At 38.5% G+C, this 17,953-nt stretch overlaps 1 annotated feature.

Moving 5' to 3' along the window:
- Positions 14,594-15,793: an enhancer, noted in NCBI's record as "CDK7 strongly-dependent group 2 enhancer chr2:5390152-5391351 (GRCh37/hg19 assembly coordinates)". NCBI's record gives its function as "activates an origin of replication core promoter dependent on BRD2, BRD4, P300/CBP, MED14 and CDK7 cofactors, with strong dependence on CDK7, by STARR-seq in HCT116 cells {active_cell/tissue: HCT116}" and the evidence as "EXISTENCE:reporter gene assay evidence [ECO:0000049][PMID:35650434]".

Raw genomic sequence — 17,953 nt, 5'->3', positions numbered from 1 at the left:
AGACAAGCATTTTTCTCTCATACATGTTTTTCAAATTCTTTTGTTTTTTCAACACCTTGATCTCCTAATAATAGCTACTATGTAGTCATTACTTAATGTGTGCCAATCACTATGCCAGCATTTTACTATTAATATATTATTTGTCCTTTGGGGCAAATATTAGTCTCATTATGCTATAGATGAGAAGAGATCTCAGAGATTTGGAAGATAAGAAAAATTAAGCTTCAAGAAATTAAGTAATTTGCTTGGGGGCTGTGATCATGAAACTGTCTAAAGTCAATATCTATGCGAACTTTTACTTCTGTATCCATACTCTTTGTAGAAAAATAGATGGTGTTTGGTTTGAATAATATATTGTATTCCAATTCTCTTAACTCGATACAGTTGAGAGAACCAATATTTGTTGAATGCTTACTATATTCCAGGAGTGGTGCCAGATGCCAGATAGAGATCAGAAAAGACACAGTTTTTACAGATCAACAGCTGCTGACTAATAGTCAGAGAAAGTTATAAATAGAAAATGTATTAATAAATAAGATATTCATTATTATTGTTCTAGAAATCTAGTGACAAAATAATTTGCATTACTAAACCCTAGAAATACTATACTTGGAAATATATACACAAATTAAGCCGATTCTTCAGGCCCCAAACCATGTTAACCCAAAATAATTAAGTAATTAAAATAACTAGGTAATTACCAACTATGTTTTCATCTTAGCCATCAGGACAATTTCTATCTGTTGGTTCAAACTTAGTTAATATGTCTCATTTATAAATGAACAGACATTTTTAAAAATTAAATAAGGTTCTGAACTGAAGCAAAATGGTGAAGGCTGAGGAAAGATATTGCACCAACTCATCTCATCGTTTTCAGAAAAACACCCAGATCAATGGGAACCAAGAGAATTCACATGTTAAACACACTCCTTTCGCACCTTCTGAGGTGTAACCCTGTGAGCTTTAGTTTTAAGTGGTAATCAGCAATAACGTGTCTCTTGTTCTTTAATGTCAGTATTGGTGAATTAGTGATTAATTATCTCACTACAATTTAGTGCTTAAAATAATCCAAATGCATGAAGTAAATGAGTTGATAGGTAGGAAATTCTGTCATGCAAATTCATGCAATACAGACCCTCACTGTCACACTCATCGCTGACAATCTAAGTGGGTCACCAGAGTAGCTGGCCCCTGTTCATTTATTTTCTCAGATGCACCATACATATTCATGATACCCTGCTGTTTGTCTGTCACCTCAAAGAAGCCCTCTCTATCGTCAGAATCACAATTAACAGAAATGTGCACATTTAGCCAACGAATAGTAATAGACTCAAAGAGTTATGGGTCTGGTTTTATTTCAGTTTTTTTTTTTTTCAGGCTTTTACTACAGACTGGAAGCAGCAATTATTTGTCCATATGGTATTCTTAAAATGCTGGCTTGTGGGCAGTCATGTACAAGTCTCACAGAAAAGAGACTCCGTGAAGGCAAAATATTCATTCATTTTAGGGTTCCATGGCTTGCTAGACTGAAAACTATTCTATTCTAATCAACATTGAGTCAATGTAGATTAAATAAATGGAACTAAGCACGTGGGTGCGAAGCAGAGTGAGCATCCAGGTCTTATCCTTCAGGTGTGATTCTTGTTGACAAGACCATGAAATAGCTGTGACTATCATAGCAGAGGTGGGGCGAGGGACTCTGCCAAAGAATATTTTGTTCACTTGGGCATATTTTTTTTTTCCAAGAATACAATGAGTTTCATTAGCAAAGAGCTAGAAGATGCCGACATTATTCCATCTTGCTCAGGTACACAATGTAGTTATAGATGACTATAAAATCAAATACAGAAGTTTGAAAAGAGAGGAAATTTGGTTAGCATTCATTATTTTCAAAGATTATGTTTATTCACCATGAATCCTATTTGCAAGAATGGGACATTTCCTGAAGGTGGACACTTGTTTCACTTTAAGATTCTAACCCTTATTTTTTTCCACTTTATATCAAAATCTATGTAATAATATCTCCTTTTATGAATAAAAATATAATTTTTTTTAAAAAAGGAACTTGTCAATTATTTTTGAGTCAAGAAGTAAAGTAAGGAATAAGAATGGAGGCATATTATCTTACTTCTAAAAAGACACAAAAAATTAAATAGTAAAAAATATATTGCAATTTTCCCCAGAGCCTTCTTGTGTCCTTGTTGATATGCTCAAAGCAAAGGATTAGCTTCCTTGGCAATATTTATGTCAGGGCCACACTGATTAATTTAATATTCTGATTGGCTGAACAGCAGAGCTTGAATGGCTGTTAACTTTTTGGCAAGTAGTTCTGAGAGGGCGATAATGAGATTAACATTCAGAGGACCTGATTTGCTTTTTTGCTGTATTTAATTACTACTTTGACACCAAATAGTATTCACTATGAGTTCTCTAGATAGGATGCTATTAATCCACATCTGTGTCACATGGTGGGGCCTGCTTTGAAAACCTGTAGGAGATGGGGTCTTTAAAAACTGCCCTTTACAAGAAGAGGGGACATTTATGATGAAGGTCAAGTTAGCAAGAAGTGCTTGAAATTGAGTTTTGCCTCCTGCACAGTCTTTGGTGGTATGGAAATCCAGTTCCAAGTTCTTATTTATATTTTACTTATTTACAAACATTTTTACTGTAATTTTGTCATTTTCTTATTCCTCAAAACATTTTGGATGAAGTCTTATTGTGCCTAACTTATAAATGAGATAAACAAATGTGAATATACATACTGGCCAGAGGTTACATACCTTTATGCCTCTTGAGCTTAAATTCAGGCCTCTCTGCATCACAACATAGACTCAATTTGGCAGTAGAGAAGTCTAAAGTCACTTATTCTTTTATTACCTTCACAACTCTCAGGATTTGTAAACAGGCACTCTTATCGTTTCATACAAGTTAGAAAATAAAGGAGAAAATTACTGTTCAATACAGAGAACTACATGGTTAAACTTCTTGAGAAAAATTAAAACATTTCTCCTTTTTTTGTTTATTGATTTTTGCTTTTTTAAAATTATATTTTAAATTCTGGGATAGATATGCAGAACGTGCAGGTTCGTTACATAGGTATACACGTGCCATGGTGGTTTTCTGCAGCCATCAACACATCATCTACATTAGGTATTTCTCCTGATGCTATCCCTCCCCTAGCTCCCCACCCCCACAACAGGCCCTGGTGTGTGATGTTCCCTTCCCTGTTTCCATGTGTTCTCATTGTTCAGCTCCCACTTATGGGTGAGAATATGCAGTGTTTGGTTTTCTGTTGTTAGTTTGCTGAGAATGATGGTTTCCAGCTTCATCCATATTCCTTCAAAGGACATGAACTCATCCTTTTTATGGCTGCACAGTATTCCAAGGTATATATGTGCCACATTTTCTTTATCCAGTCTATCATTGATGGGCATTTGGGTTGGTTCCAAGTCTTTGCTATTGTGAACAGTGCTGCAATAAACATACATGTGCATGTTTGTTTATAGCAGAATGATTTATAATCTTTTGGGTATATATCCAGTAATGGAATTGGTGGGTCAAATAGTATTTCTCGTTCTAGATTCTTGAGGAATTGCCACACTGTCTTCATCAAGGGTTGAACTAATTTACACTCCCACTAACAGTGTAAAAGCGTTCCTGTTTCTCTGCATCCTCTCCAGCATCTATTATTTCCTGACTTTTAATGATCACCATTGTAACTGGCATGAGATGGTATCTCATTATGGTTTTGATTTGCATTTCTCTAATGACCAACAATGATGAACTTTTTTTCATATGTTTGTTGGCCACATAAGTGTCTTCTTTTAAGAAGTGTCTGTTCAAATCCTTTGCCCACTTTTTGATGGGGTTGTTTGTTTTTTTCTTGTAAATTTGTTTAAGTTCTTTGTAGATTCTGGATATTAGCCCTTTGTCAGATGGATAGATTGCAAAAATTTTCTCCCATTCTGTAGGTTGCCTGTTCACTCTGATGATAGTTTCTTTTGCTGTGCAGAAGCTCTTCAGTTTAATTAGATCCCATTTGCCAATTTTGGCTTTTGTTGTCATTTGGTGTTTTATTCATGAAATCTTTGCCTATGCTTATGTCCTGAATGGTATTGCCTAGGTTTTCTTCTAGGGTTTTTATGGTTTTAGGTCTTACGTTTAAGTTTTTTATCCATCTTAATTTTTGTGTAAGATGTAAGGAAGGGGTCCAGTTTTAGTTTTCTGCATATGGCTAGCCAGTTTTCCCAACACTATTTATTAAATAGGGAATCCTTTCCCCATTGCTTGTGTTTGTCAGGTATATCAAAGATCAGATAGTTGTAGATATGCAGCGTTATTTCTGAGGGCTCTGTTCTGTTCCATTGATCTATATCTCTGTTTTGGTACCAGTACCATGCCGCTTTGGTTCCTGTGGCCTTGTAGTATCATTTGAAGTCAGGTAGCATGTTGCCTCCAGCTTTGTTCTTTTTGCTTAGGATTGTCTTGGCTATACGGGCTCTTTTTTGGTTCCATATGAAATTTAAAGTAGTTTTTTCTAATTCTGTGAAAAAGTCAATGGTAGCTTGATGAGGATAGCATTGAATCTATAAATTACTTTGGGCAATATGGCCATTTTTACTATATTGATTCTTACTATCCATAAGCATGGAATGTTTTTACATTTGTTTGTGTCCTGTCTTATTTTCTTGAGCAGCGGTTTGCAGTTCTCCTTAAAGAGATCCTTCACATCCCTTGAAAGTTGCATTCCTAGGTATTTTATTCACTTTGTAGCAGTTTTGAATGGGAATTCACTCATGATTTGGCTTTCTGTTTGTCTATTATTGGTGTATAGGAATGCTTGTGATTTTTGCACATTGATTTTGTATCCTGATACTTTGCTGAAGTTGCTTATCAGCTTAAGGAGATTTGGGGCTGAGATGATGGGGTTTTCTAAATATACAATCATGTCATCTGTAAACAGAGACAATTTGACTTCCTCTCTTCCTATTTGAATACCCTTTATTTCTTTCTCTTGCCTGATTGCCCTGGTGAGAACTTCCAATACTATGTTGAAGAGCAGTGGTGAGAGAGGGCATCCTTGTCTTGTGTTGATTTTCAAAGGGAATGCTGAGCTTTTACCCATTCAGTTTGATATTGGCTGTGGGTTTGTCATAAAGGGCTCTTATTATTTTGAGATACATTCCATCAATACATAGTTTATTAAGAGTTTTCAGCATGAAGGGGTGTTGTATTTTATCAAAGGCCTTTTCTGCATCTATTGAGATAATCATGTGGTTTTTGTCATTGGTTCTGCTTACGTGATGGATTACGTTTATTGACTTACATGTGTTGAACCAGTTTTGCATCCAAAGGATGAAGCCAACTTGATCGTGGTGGATAAACTTTTTGATGTGCTGCTTGATTCAGTTTGCCAATATTTTATTGAGGATTTTCGCATCCATGTTCATCAGGGATATTGGCCTGAAATTTTCTTTTTTTGTGTGTCTCTGCCAGGTTTTCATATCAGGATGATGCTGGCCTCATAAAATGGGTTAGGGAGGAGCCCCTCTTTTTCTATTGTTTAGAATAGTTTCAGAAGGAATGGTACCAGCTTCTCTTTGTACCTCTGGTAGAATTTGGCTGTGAATCTGTCTGGTCCTGGGCTTTTTTTTTTGGTTGATAGGCTATTAATTACTGCCTCAATTTCAGAACTTGTTATTGGTTTATTTGGGGATTTGACTTCTTCCTGGTTTAGTCTTGGGAGTGTGTATGTGTCCAGGAATTTATCCATTTCTTCTAGATTTTCTAGTTTATTTGCACAGAAGTGTTTATAGTATTCTTTGATGGTAGTTTGTAATTCTGTGGGATCGATGGTGACATATACTTTCTCATTTTTATTGTGTCTGTCTGATTCTTCTCTCTTTTCTTCTTTAATAGTCATGCTAGTGGTCTATCAATTTTGTTAATCTTTTCAAAATCCAGCTCCTGGATTCTTTGATTTTTGGAAAGTTTTTTTTCATGTCTCTACCTCCTTCAGTTCTGTTCTGATCTTAGTTATTTCTTATCTTCTGTTAGCTTTTAGGTTTGTTTGCTCTTGTTTTCTAGTTCTTTTAATTGTGATGTTAGGGTGTCAATTTTAGATCTTTCCTGCTTTCTCCTGTGGGCACTTAGTGCTATAAATTTCCCTCTAAACACTGCTTTAGCTGTGTCCCAGAGATTCTGGTGTGTTGTGTCTTTGTTCTCATTGCCTTCAAAGAACTTACTAATTTCTGGCTTAATTTCGTTATTTATCCAGTAACCATTCAGAAGCAGGTTGTTCAGTTTCCATGCAGTTGTGCGGTTTTGAGTGAGTTTCTTAATCCCAAGTTGTAATTTGGTTGCACTGTGGTCTGAGAGACAGTTTGTTATGATTTCGTTCTTTTGCATTTGCTGAGAAGTGTTTTAATTCCAATTATGTGGTCAGTTTTAGAATAGGTGAGATGTGGCATTGAAAAGAATGTATATTCTGTTGATTTGGGATAGAGAGATCTGTAAATGTCTATTAGGTCTGCTTGGTCCAGAGCTGGGTTCAAGTTCTGAATATCCTTGTTAATTTTCTGTCACGTTGATCTGTCTAATATTGACAGTGGGGTGTTAAAGTCTCCCACTATTACTGTGTGGGAGTCTAAGTCTCTTTGTAGGTCTCTAAGAATGCGCTTTATGAATCTGGGTGCTCCTGTAATGGGTGCACATATAGTTAGGATAATTAACTCTTCCTGTTGCATTGATCCCTTTACCATTATGTAATGACCTTTGTCTTTTTTGATCTTTGTTGGTTTAAATTCTGTTTTATCAGAGACTAGGATTGCAACCCCTATTTTTTTTTTTTTTTTTTTTTGCTTTCCATTTGCTTGGTAAATATTCCTCCATCCCTTTATTTTGAGCCTGTGTGTCTTTGCACATGAGATGGGTCTCCTGAATACAGCACAGCAATGGGTCTTGACTCTTTATCCAATTTGCCAGTTTGTGTCTTTTAATTGGGGCATTTAGCCCATTTACATTTAAGGTTAATATTGTTATGTGTGAATTTGATCCTGTCATTATGATGCTAAGTGGTTATTTTGCCCATTAGTTGACACAGTTTCTTCATAGTGTCGATGGTCTTTACAATTTGGTATGTTTTTGAAATGACTGATACTGGTTTTTCCTTTCTGTATTTACTGCTTCCTTCAGGAGCTCTTGTAAGGCAGGACTGGTGGTGACAAAATCTCTCAGTCTGAAGTCAATCTGGGTCACTTGGGCTTGGTGAGGAGAGGGGTGTCCACCATTACTGAGGCTTGAGTATGAGGTTTTCCCCTCACAGTGTAAACAAAGCCGCTGGGAATTTTGAACTGGGCGGAGACCACTGCAGCTCAGCAAAGCCACTGTAGCCAGACTGCCTCTCTAGATTCCTCCTCTCTGGGCATGGCATCTCTGAAAGAAAGGCAGCAACCCCAGTTAGGGGCTTATAGATAAAACTCCCATCTCCCTGGGACAGAGAACCTGGCAGAAGAGGTGGCTATGGGCGCAGCTTCAGCAGACTTAAATGTTCCTGCCTGCTGGCTCTGAAGAGAGCAGCAGATCTCCCAGCACAGCACTTGAGCTCTGCTAAGGGACAGACTGTCTCCTCAAGTGGGTCACTGACACCCATGCCTCCTGGCTGGGAGACACCTCCCAACAGGGGTCGACAGACAATTCAGACAGGAGAGCTCCTGTCTGCATGTGGCATGTGTCCCTCTGGGATGAAGCTTCCAGAGGAAGGAACAGGCAGCAATTTTTGCTGTTCTGCAGCCTCCACTGGTGATACCCAGGCAAACAGGGTCTGGAGTGGCCCTCCAGCAAACTCCAGCAGACCTGTAACAGAGGGGCCTGACTGTTAGAAGAAAAACTAACAAACAGAAAAGAATAGCATCAACATCAACAAAAAGGACATCCACACAAAAACCCTATCTGAAGGTCACCAACATCAAAGACCAAAGGTAGAAAAATCCACAAAGATGAGAATAAACCAATGCAAAAAGGCTGAAAATTCCAAAAACCAGAACTCCTCTTCTCCTCTGAAGAATCACAATTCCTCACCACCAAGGGAACAAGACTGGACAGAGAATAAGTTTGATGAATTAATAGAAGTAGGCTTCAGAAGGTAGGTAATAACAAACTCCTCTGAGCCAAAGGGGCATGTTCTAATCCAATGCAAGGAAGCTAAGAACCTTGAAAAAAGGTTAGAGGAATTGTTAACTAGAATAACCAGTTTAGGGAAGGACATAAATGACCTGATGGAGCTGAAAAACACAACATGAGAACTTTGTGAAGCATACACAAATATGCTCCTTGATTCCTACATGGTTCCTGCTCATGGTACATGAGCTCTGTGCTCATTTTCTCAAGTGCTCTCCTCCTTCTGATGATGGTCTTGGAGTTTCCTCTTAACCCGAGTAATCCTCTAAGAGTCCCATCTTAGTCTTGCTGACCGTGATCTCCTTACATCATCCCAGCTGCTATCAGCTGCCCTGACTTGAGTGTGAGAGGCCCAGCTCCTCACTTCACCTGCTCTGGGTCCACATATCTGCCAGTGCTCGCCACAGAGGCAGGGAAAGCAAACCCCTTGCGGGGGAAATGTGGATGCAGCGGCAGTGAAGGGCGCTTGCTATGGTTGTCCTGTTTCCCTCCTTCTAAAGTTTCCTGCCATGTTTTTCCCAGCTACAAGTAAGATACATCAGAACTATGTTTGTGGCCATTCACTTTCTCTAGAAAGGCACGGGAAAAAAACATCTCAGCAACTGTAGCCCCTCACAGTGCATCAGTTGCTAAAAGGAAAGAAAAATGGGATCTTGCAATGATTTATTATTATATATAATGTATTAAATATAATATACATGGGAGTAAAAATGCCTGCAGGATTATAAACTAGGCTTTTAATGCATCTCTATGAACTTAGTATAAATGTTTATAGGGAAAGCTAGAAAGGCTTTGAACTGTTCACACTTATCGTGAGTTAGATGAATACAGAAGTCAGATTTTCATTTTGAGATGCCATTAAGCCTGCAGAGGCAAAAGTTTTTTTGGATAATTTAATAAGACAATGAGAGAAAAGTCCTTATCACCATGCCTGCCAAAGTGTAGCCACTCCCTGACTGGGGTAGTGATTGCATAATGACAGTGGCAGTAGTGGTGATAATGGTCATAGCAGTTGTGAAAGTGAATGGACTGAAGAAATGGTAAGCTCAGATAAACAGTAGAGAGATGTGTGTGTGTGTGTGTGTGTGTGTGTGTGTGTGTGTGTATCTTTCCAAAACACCAGAGTCCTGGCAGAATTCAAATAGACATTTTAAAAAACACTCCATGTGACTATTGTAACTAGCAAACTCCACAATCTAGTATTGTTTCCTCTACTTTCCAGTGGTCACACTCCCCTGGACTTTTGCTGTCCTTCTTGGATGCCACAGTGTCAGAATATGGAGAAGCAGGGTTCTGTTCTGAGAAGAATGGGCATATTACAAGAATGGCTGGGACATTGGAGAAGTCTGCCCTGGAGAACAGAATCCTCAGGGATTCCTGAGAGCAGGCTTCACTTTTGTGAAGGCAGTTACAGGGGACGGGGTGGCTGTCTTCCCATGGGCCCTAAAGGTTGGAGCCTGAACCGGTGGGAAATAGATTTTGTCCCAGTGAAATGAGTTTTGTAATGGTCAGAGCTTCCGAAATGGAACCGGGCTGTCACAGGAAGAAATGAATTTCTTGTCGTTTAGGACATTCAGAATAAAGAGTTCATGGAGGATGGAAAGGAGCAAGGAGTGCTTTAGCCCAGTGTATTTGTTTGAGAATGTCTGTATCTGAGTATGTATACATATATGTATCCATATATGCACAGAAAACAGGGTTGGGTGGATGGACTTTTAGGGCCTTTGTAGCTCTAGGATGCTATATTTTTTATGAGTAGGGATTATTTATCCACGTTCTATTTCTTTTTGTTGTTGTTGTTTTACTACACATACTAAATCAAATGCAGGGCTCATGGATTTTATTTTATTTTTTATTTTTTTTAACAACAAGTGAGTGCTGATAGGTGGAAGGAGAGTAACCAGGAATTTAGGAGATGTAGGTTTAACATCTCCTAAATTAGCATTGCCACCTACTAGCGGTGTGACCCCGGGCAAATAAACTTTCTTTAAGACATAATTTACCACACTGATAAAATATAATCTTAGGACAAATCTGATCTATTTTTTTCTCATTTAACATTCTATGATTACTCAGGCTACTCATAAATGAGTCTATATACATTTTATACATTTATTAGTTTTGGCCAGTGTGAAGAGAGGGGGAAAATTATCTGCACTCAGGAGGATAACGAAGCCTTCCCATCTGAGGGTATTTCATATGTTGACACATACCTTTATTTTTGCAATTTTTTTTCACAGACTCCTGCCACTAGTTTTTTCTCCAAGCAGCATCTTTTACTTATTAACAGAATCCTGGGTGAGACACTCAAGAATGAAATAGCACTTTTGCTTACTTACAGCACGAATTTTGTTACCATCCAATAGTACACGTAAGAGCTGCACATTTATATTTGATTTGTAACATTTCTTTGTGGTACAGTGTCCTGGGCTGCAGATTTAAATGGATTCCTACCACTGTTCTCCTGGCATGGTGAGGTCATTACACATCTGTTTGCAAAGCCACATCAGGGTTTCTTCCCTTGACTTGACTTCAATCTGGGTTCCAAGGCTTTCTGATTATTAAGCTGCAGAGAGTTCAAATTTGCTATCAGACAATTGGAACTAATTGTCTGAGACAATTTACATCCATCAGTGCAGGGTTTTATGGCTTTTCAGACTCTTCGTAAGATGAATAAATAACGGAGCTTGAGTCATTACTCTGCTTTATTACCTGCAATGTTCCGGGGAACCCGAAGATAATTTAGGCACTATGACTCCGTCGGATAGTGGACAGTTGTCAACTTGTGGGTTCTGGTGGTATTTTGCAATCTGTCCACTTTCACCCTTTACAATTCCCACCTTAAAACCAATGAATTGAGTTGTTTTGTTCTGTTGTTTTTGTCATTATTGTTTTCAGTAGGGAATTCTATTAAAGAAATGAGAGTAACTTTTGCTTTTCTTTTGGTAATTCGGGCTTCTATTTCCATCCTCTTCAATCCTCATCTTGTCTCATGCACACAGACACTTCATTCTTTTGCACACTTAATGGACCCAGAGGAAGCAAGTATCATCCTTTTCATCTCGCAGCTTTGACTTTAGTGCGGCAGAGGCTGCCCAGCCAAGGATCCTGCCGGTTGGCATGCTCACCTCACACCCATGCTAGTCAGTGAGACGGTTCACCAGCTCTTGCTTGGACAAGCCCATTTTAAAGTCTTTTAATATAGCTTCGAAAATGAATTTTTCAGTGTTTCTAGGGAAGTGTTAAATCATAGTTAAATCATTTTACTGTCTGGAAATTCACCCCAATTTGGATTTATTTTCTAAATTTATTTTTACAAAGACATTGTAGCTTTGTATTTTTCTGGCCCCATGTTACACATGCAACTAGTGCAAAGATATTTGGTTCGTTTATTAAAAATAGTCAATGAGGGTTGTTTAGTCAATTCCTAGTTTCCTTTTGAACAATTCTTTTATCTGTATTATTATATGATTAGGAGAAAATCCACATTGAACTTCCATTTAATTTTAGAGAAAAGAAAGGGATGGCATGGCTACATTGATCTGAGAGAAATAAATTAAAAAGACACAACGTTCAAACAAAAGTGTCTTTGTGTATCCTTCTCTATGACAATCTTGTGTTCCCATGCCATTAATCATGAGAAGAAGAAATGTTAGAACTCAGATTTTAGGGGTGAAGGATACATATGTAAAAAAGACAAAGTCTGGATGTGAACTTTAATAAATGTGAAATCAATAAAAATTTATCGAATGCTTAATTTAATGATTGGGCATACAGGACTGAATAAGACACCTTGACCTGTCTTCAGAGAACTCACATTCAGCATGCAGTGGATACTCCACAAGGAAATGTAACAGGACGCAGTGATTGCTTCAGTAGACGTACAAACGCAGTGGAAAGAACAGCTTGCTTTGAGTTCACTTAGGGAGGTATTCTCAGAACCGATTCATGGGACATTCCTTGAAGGATGAATTAAAGCTTGCCGGAAAGACAGAGAGGTAAAATTCATTCTAGTCAGATGTACTAGCGCGAGACCAGCTCCAGCTGGCTGCTCATTCCCTGATTTAAGATTTGAAATTTAGTTTGATTTTCTCCTTGGTCCTTTTTTCTTCTTTTCCTGTCGCCTATACTAATCTTGCCTTTTAATCCTAATTAAGGATTGAAAGTGCTGAAATAAGCAATTTTCCTCACTTTCTAGCCCTGTCCTGGGCAGTCTCAACGATAGAGAAGTCTGCGGACATGAGGTCGGTGTTGGCAATGCACAGGTTCGTCCCCCAACCGGACCCTCTTCTGGGGTACACCTGCCTCTAGCTGTTGCTCCCCATGCATGGGGGTTCTCCTGGGCTCCCTTGGTCTGACACAAAAGCCTCTTGAACTCTCTTCCTCACCTCCTCAAACTCACTCTTCAAAAACCCCAGGATATAAATTCAGATCGCGTCATACCACTCTGCTGCCTAAAAGTTTCAATGGCTTTCATTTCCTTTGAGATTAATTTCAAAAACCTGAACAGCACCTGTGAAATCCTGCTCAGTTGAATCCCAGGTTCCCTCTCAGCTTCCTCGCTTGGCTCCCCACTCCCTCCCAGCTCTGCCCTCACAGGGCCTCTGCCTTAGAAGAAGCAGCCTCTGTCCACCTCAGGGCTCTCCCATCTGCTTCTTCTGTCCATGATTCTCCGTCTGTTGCTCTGTGCATCAGGAATTATTTTCCCATCATTTTTCAGGGAAACCTTGCTAGGTCCCTCAGACTAGCTTCTATCTCCACTTAGTACATGCAGCATGTAATACAATCACAGTTTAATTGTAATAAATCTGTTCATCATGCAAGATTCTATGTTCCCACGGGCAAGGATTGTGTGCTCTTCACTGCCATATTCCCTGCGGTTGAGGAATGAATAGAAGAAAAGAAGAAAGGAAAGAAGAGTGGGAAAAAAGGCAGGCATATATGAGGAAGATAGAAGAACATTTCTAAAATGATAAATTAATATCATTATATATTCACCAAATTGTGAGTAATCCAAGAAGGTAGGTTCAAGAGTTGACCAATTAGAGAAAAATATGAAATTAAGATAAACATGAGAAATACAGGTCCTATGTTATAAACTCTTGACTAGAAGAAAGGAGACAGAGCTCCATTCTCTATCTAAGTTAAGTGTGCCATTCTGAGGAAGTCACTTAAGCTTTCTGGGTCTGAGCTTATTCAACAGTAGAAGGAGGAGCTGTGATGAAAAGATACACCATGGAATACTATGCAGCCATAAAAAAGAATGAGATCATGTGTTTTGCAGGAACATGGATAAAGCTGGAAGCTAATTATCCTTAGCAAACAACTGCGGGAACGGAAAAACCAAATACTGTATGTTCTCACTTATAAGTGGGAGCTAAATTATGAAAACATATGAACACAAAGAAGGAAATAGACAGTGGGGTCTACTTGAGGGCGGAGGGTGGAAGGAGAGAGGTGAGCAAGAAAGATAACTACTGGGTACTGGGCTTAATTCCTGGGTGATGAAATAATTTATATGACAATTCCCCATGACACAAGTTTACCTACATAACAAATCTCCACATGTACCCCCAAACCTAAAATAAAAGTTAAAAAATGCCTCAAAATTCTAAGATTCTAAGAATAAGTGGCATGGCCAAAAAGTAACCCTTTTTGGCAGAAAGCAAGCATAGTGGAAGAATAGAGAAGAAATGGAAGAGACTGAAAACAAGCAAAAAAGAAAGCCACTAGGAGAACACACGGATCACATTTACCCAGCAGATTGTGGAAAAGCTGCGTGACATCGAGCTTTGCCTGATTGGTCTTATTGGAGTCAGTGAGAAATAACTATGTGTCTCAGATTTGATGAAGGAGGAAACCAAAAGCGAACTCTGAAGAGACTGACATGTAGACGAACCATCATGAGAACTGAAGTCAACCGATCTTGGTTTTAAATCCAGTTGTAATCACGTCTGGCCACACCATTTGGTGACCCAATCAGAGGCTCAGAACCCTCAATTATTAAGCAAGGATAATAATGTCTATCTTCATTTCACAAGAATTAAACAAGTTAATATAAATAAAAGCAACTGACACAGTGTATGCTCAGAAATACTTGCTCAATGAAGGAAGTTAGAGTTGAAGAGGAGTAGTGTGGACTGGCCGGGAACCATCACTGCATTTAGGAGTTGCACCATCTGTGAGTGATTTGACAATGGAGGTGGCAACCTGACTAGCAAGTAAAAGATTGATTATGCTACATGAGTAAAAAATTGACGAGATCAAGTAATTGGACATGCTAAGATGAGTTCAGAGAAATTTCAACAGTGACTTCCAAGTTGGAAGCATAGATAATTTTTTAAATATTTGGGATCATTTGTACCCCACAACGGTAGGACTAGGAGTTGGCACTATGTAAAATGTCGATAAGTATCATTTTTCAATTTCATAAAAATTATTAATGATGGAATATTCAAGTGTATATATATAAATAATAATAATAATAACAAGCCCACACTCACCGAACACTGACTTTCTGCGGGTTCTCCTGTAAACAGAACTTGATGTATAATAGTACGTGCAGGCAGGTGGTTTGCTTAGAGAGTGGTCCCAGGAGATAAGAGATGGACCGAAAGTGAAAGATGGAAGAAGGAAAAACAACACAAGGATGTGTTATCAAGTCAGTCCATAATACAGGCAATGACCCTCAATTCTGTGGGACATTCTTAGCAGATTTAGGAAATAAACCTCAGAATGGTTCAAAAGAAAAGAAGTGAAAACATCTATTCCTTATCTTCCATTCCCCTTGGTCAAGGGTGGTACAAGGCATTAACTCCCCTGCACTTCCAGGTCCTGCATCTTTTATTATCCAGCAGCCTTGGTGGGTTTTCCCGAATGAGTCATCTTCCTCAGGGCATTGGAAGCCCTGAGGCAGGAAGAGAGAGGAGCACAGCATGGGGCTGAAATGGGCGGAAATCATGTCAAAGACATCTGTGGAGTCAGGTTATTTGAGAAGTGATCCCATCCAGCAGGGAAGAGAGGCACTGTGAGTCACTCAGGGAAGAAGAGAAAGACAAGACCAGGATGCATGTGGAGTGTGCTATCACCTTAGGGAAACGGGACTCAGATTTATGCGAGCTTCGGATAAGTTTAATGAAATATCTCAGAACTGTCCACACAAGGAAAGATAAGAAACAGTATCTAATGGCTCCCACTCCAGTTGGGTAAAGATGACTGTTTCTGAGTTGCAGATCATGCTGCAAGATCAGAGAAGACCAGGCAGGTAGATATCACTGTGCAGCAAGGGCTCTCAGACTTAGACACTCTCTGGTTACATTCTGTGCAAAGACAGTGAAGGTCTGCAGTTGAAGCTTTGGGAGTAACTCGAGACAGAGTTAAGAGATTAGAAGTGGGGTATAAGACATGTCTGAAACTAGCACAGGCTACTTCAAAAATACTAAACTTTTCTTGCAGTTTTTTTATTTAGTATTAAGTTTTTCTGTAGATGATAGAGACCTAAAATAATAGTGATAAACTAGATAGAAGTCCAGAGGCATTCAGTCAAGGCCTGCTGTGGTGGCCATTATTCAGGAGAGCCTCAGGGACTCAGAGCTTTTGGCTTTCATTAGCTTTCATTTACATGTTCCTCTGTTGATGGTCTTCAGCTTCACCATCCATGATCGAGATACAGGACCTTATGTTTTTTGTGCAAGCAGTGCAACACAGGAAGGCTTAAAGAAAACGGAAGAAGGCTTTTAATTAGGGTCTTGATGAAGCCGTGAATCAATCTCTTTTGTATTTAATGCCACTTTTATAATCAAACTCTGTGCCTGATTTTTAACACAGCCTGCCTTCCTGGGGCAAGATTTAACTGTTATTAAACATTTCAATAAAAGCACTCTTGTAGCTCCTTACTAAAAAAAAGTTCTCGGAAGCTGCAATTCAAAACTTCTACTTATATCCAACTGACAAGAACTTAGTTTCATGGCCACACTTAGCTTCATGAGAGGCTGAAACATGTTTGTATTCTGGGTGCTGAGAAGTCATGTAAAAATCCTATCCTGGGGAAAAAGGACTTTGGGGAAATGTAGCAGTTTCTGCCACATGTGAATACTTGCATTTAGTCCTTCTGCAATCTTTCTGAGAGTTACTGTTGTAATCTCGTTCCTAGTGTCTGTTTGACCACATTCTCTTTCTTACCTTTTGTTTCCCATTGTTTTGCAAGTTAGAAGTTTTGTTTTATTTAATTTTTAACATACGTATTTTAAATTTTGCTATTAGTGTCTGAAGTTAATAGTTTTTATCTTTTTTTCTGATAAGACAAGGGCTTTGGAACTCGTTAAAATCCCTCCACACTCACGGACACCCACAATCTTCTTTAGGTTTCTTAATTTTCACTTTAGAATTTTTATTATAAATTATACCTACACAGAAATAGTGCATAAAATAAAGACGGAAAGTTGGTATAAGTATTATCGTAAGGTGAATATTGGTATAACCACATGCAGTTTAAAATGAGATGATACTGCCAGAAGCCCAGAAGCTCTCATTTGCTTCTCTTAGTCATTATCACTTCCCTGTCTCCTCAGTGTAAGGAGCCACACCGTTATGGAAATTTTTTTCCTTTCCTTTATCACGTAAGCATGCAGCCATAGACACTACAGTTTACTTCTTCCATTTTGTAAACCCTATTTTTCTCTGTATTTGAAATCATGTTATATGAAACCATGATATACATACAATCATAAAACATATTTTATGTATTGCTTTTGTGTTTTTGCTTTTTTTTTTTTTTTTTGGAAACAGGGTCTCACTCTGTCAACCAGGTTGAACTGCAGTCGTGTGATTTTGACTCACTGCAGCCTGGACCTCCTGGGTTCAAGGGATCTTCCCACCTCAGTCTTGAGTAGCTGGGAACACAGGCAAGTGCCACTATGCTGGACTAATTTTCGTACTTTTTGTAAAGATGGGGTTTCATCATTTTGCCCAGGCTGTTCCCGAACTCCTGAGCTCAAGCAATCTGCCCGCCTTGGCCTCTCAAAGTGCTGGCATTACAGGCATGTACCACCACGCCAGGCCTTGTATTGCTTTTTTAAATGAACAATGTATTTGGGAAATTTATTCATGTTGATTCACATACCTATGGCTTGTTGATTTCATTGAAGTTTAAATCCCATTGTCCCATGTATGAATACAATTTAATATTTAAAACTATATGTTTTAGAATCTTGGATTTTAAGTCTCTGATTCATTTTGAGTGGAATTTTGTGAAAGGTGCAAAGTCTGTCTAGAGATTTTTTCTTTTCTTTTTTTTTGGGTGGGGGGGCATGAGCATGTCTAATTGTTCCAGTACCATTTGTTAAAAAGACTATGCTTTCTCTATTGAAGTACCTTTGATTCTTGCTTTTGTGCAAGTATGATTTAACTATATTTGTGAGGGTCTACTTCTGGGTTCTCTATTCATTTCCACTGGTGTTTGTTTTTTCTTTTGTGTTGAGTACTGTAGCTTTAAGTCTTCAAGTTAGGTTGGGTCAGTCCTCTAATTTTGTTCTTCTTCAGTATTATATTGGCTATTCTGGTTTTCTTGCTTTTCCACCTAAACTTTATAATCAGTTTGCTAATAACCATAAAAGGATGTGCTGGGATTTTGATTGGAATTGCACTGAATCTATAGATCAAGTTGGGCAGAATTATCCTCTTAATACTGAGTCTTCCAACTCCATGGACACAAAGTATCTCTCATTTATTTAGATCCTTGATTTATTTCCTCAGAGTTTTGTAGTTTTCCTCATAT

Source organism: Homo sapiens, chromosome 2 (assembly GCF_000001405.40).
Source record: "Homo sapiens chromosome 2, GRCh38.p14 Primary Assembly".
Lineage (NCBI taxonomy): Eukaryota > Metazoa > Chordata > Mammalia > Primates > Hominidae > Homo > Homo sapiens.
The sequence above is the reverse complement of the archived record's forward strand: the minus strand, read 5'-3'. Positions and strand labels throughout refer to the sequence as shown.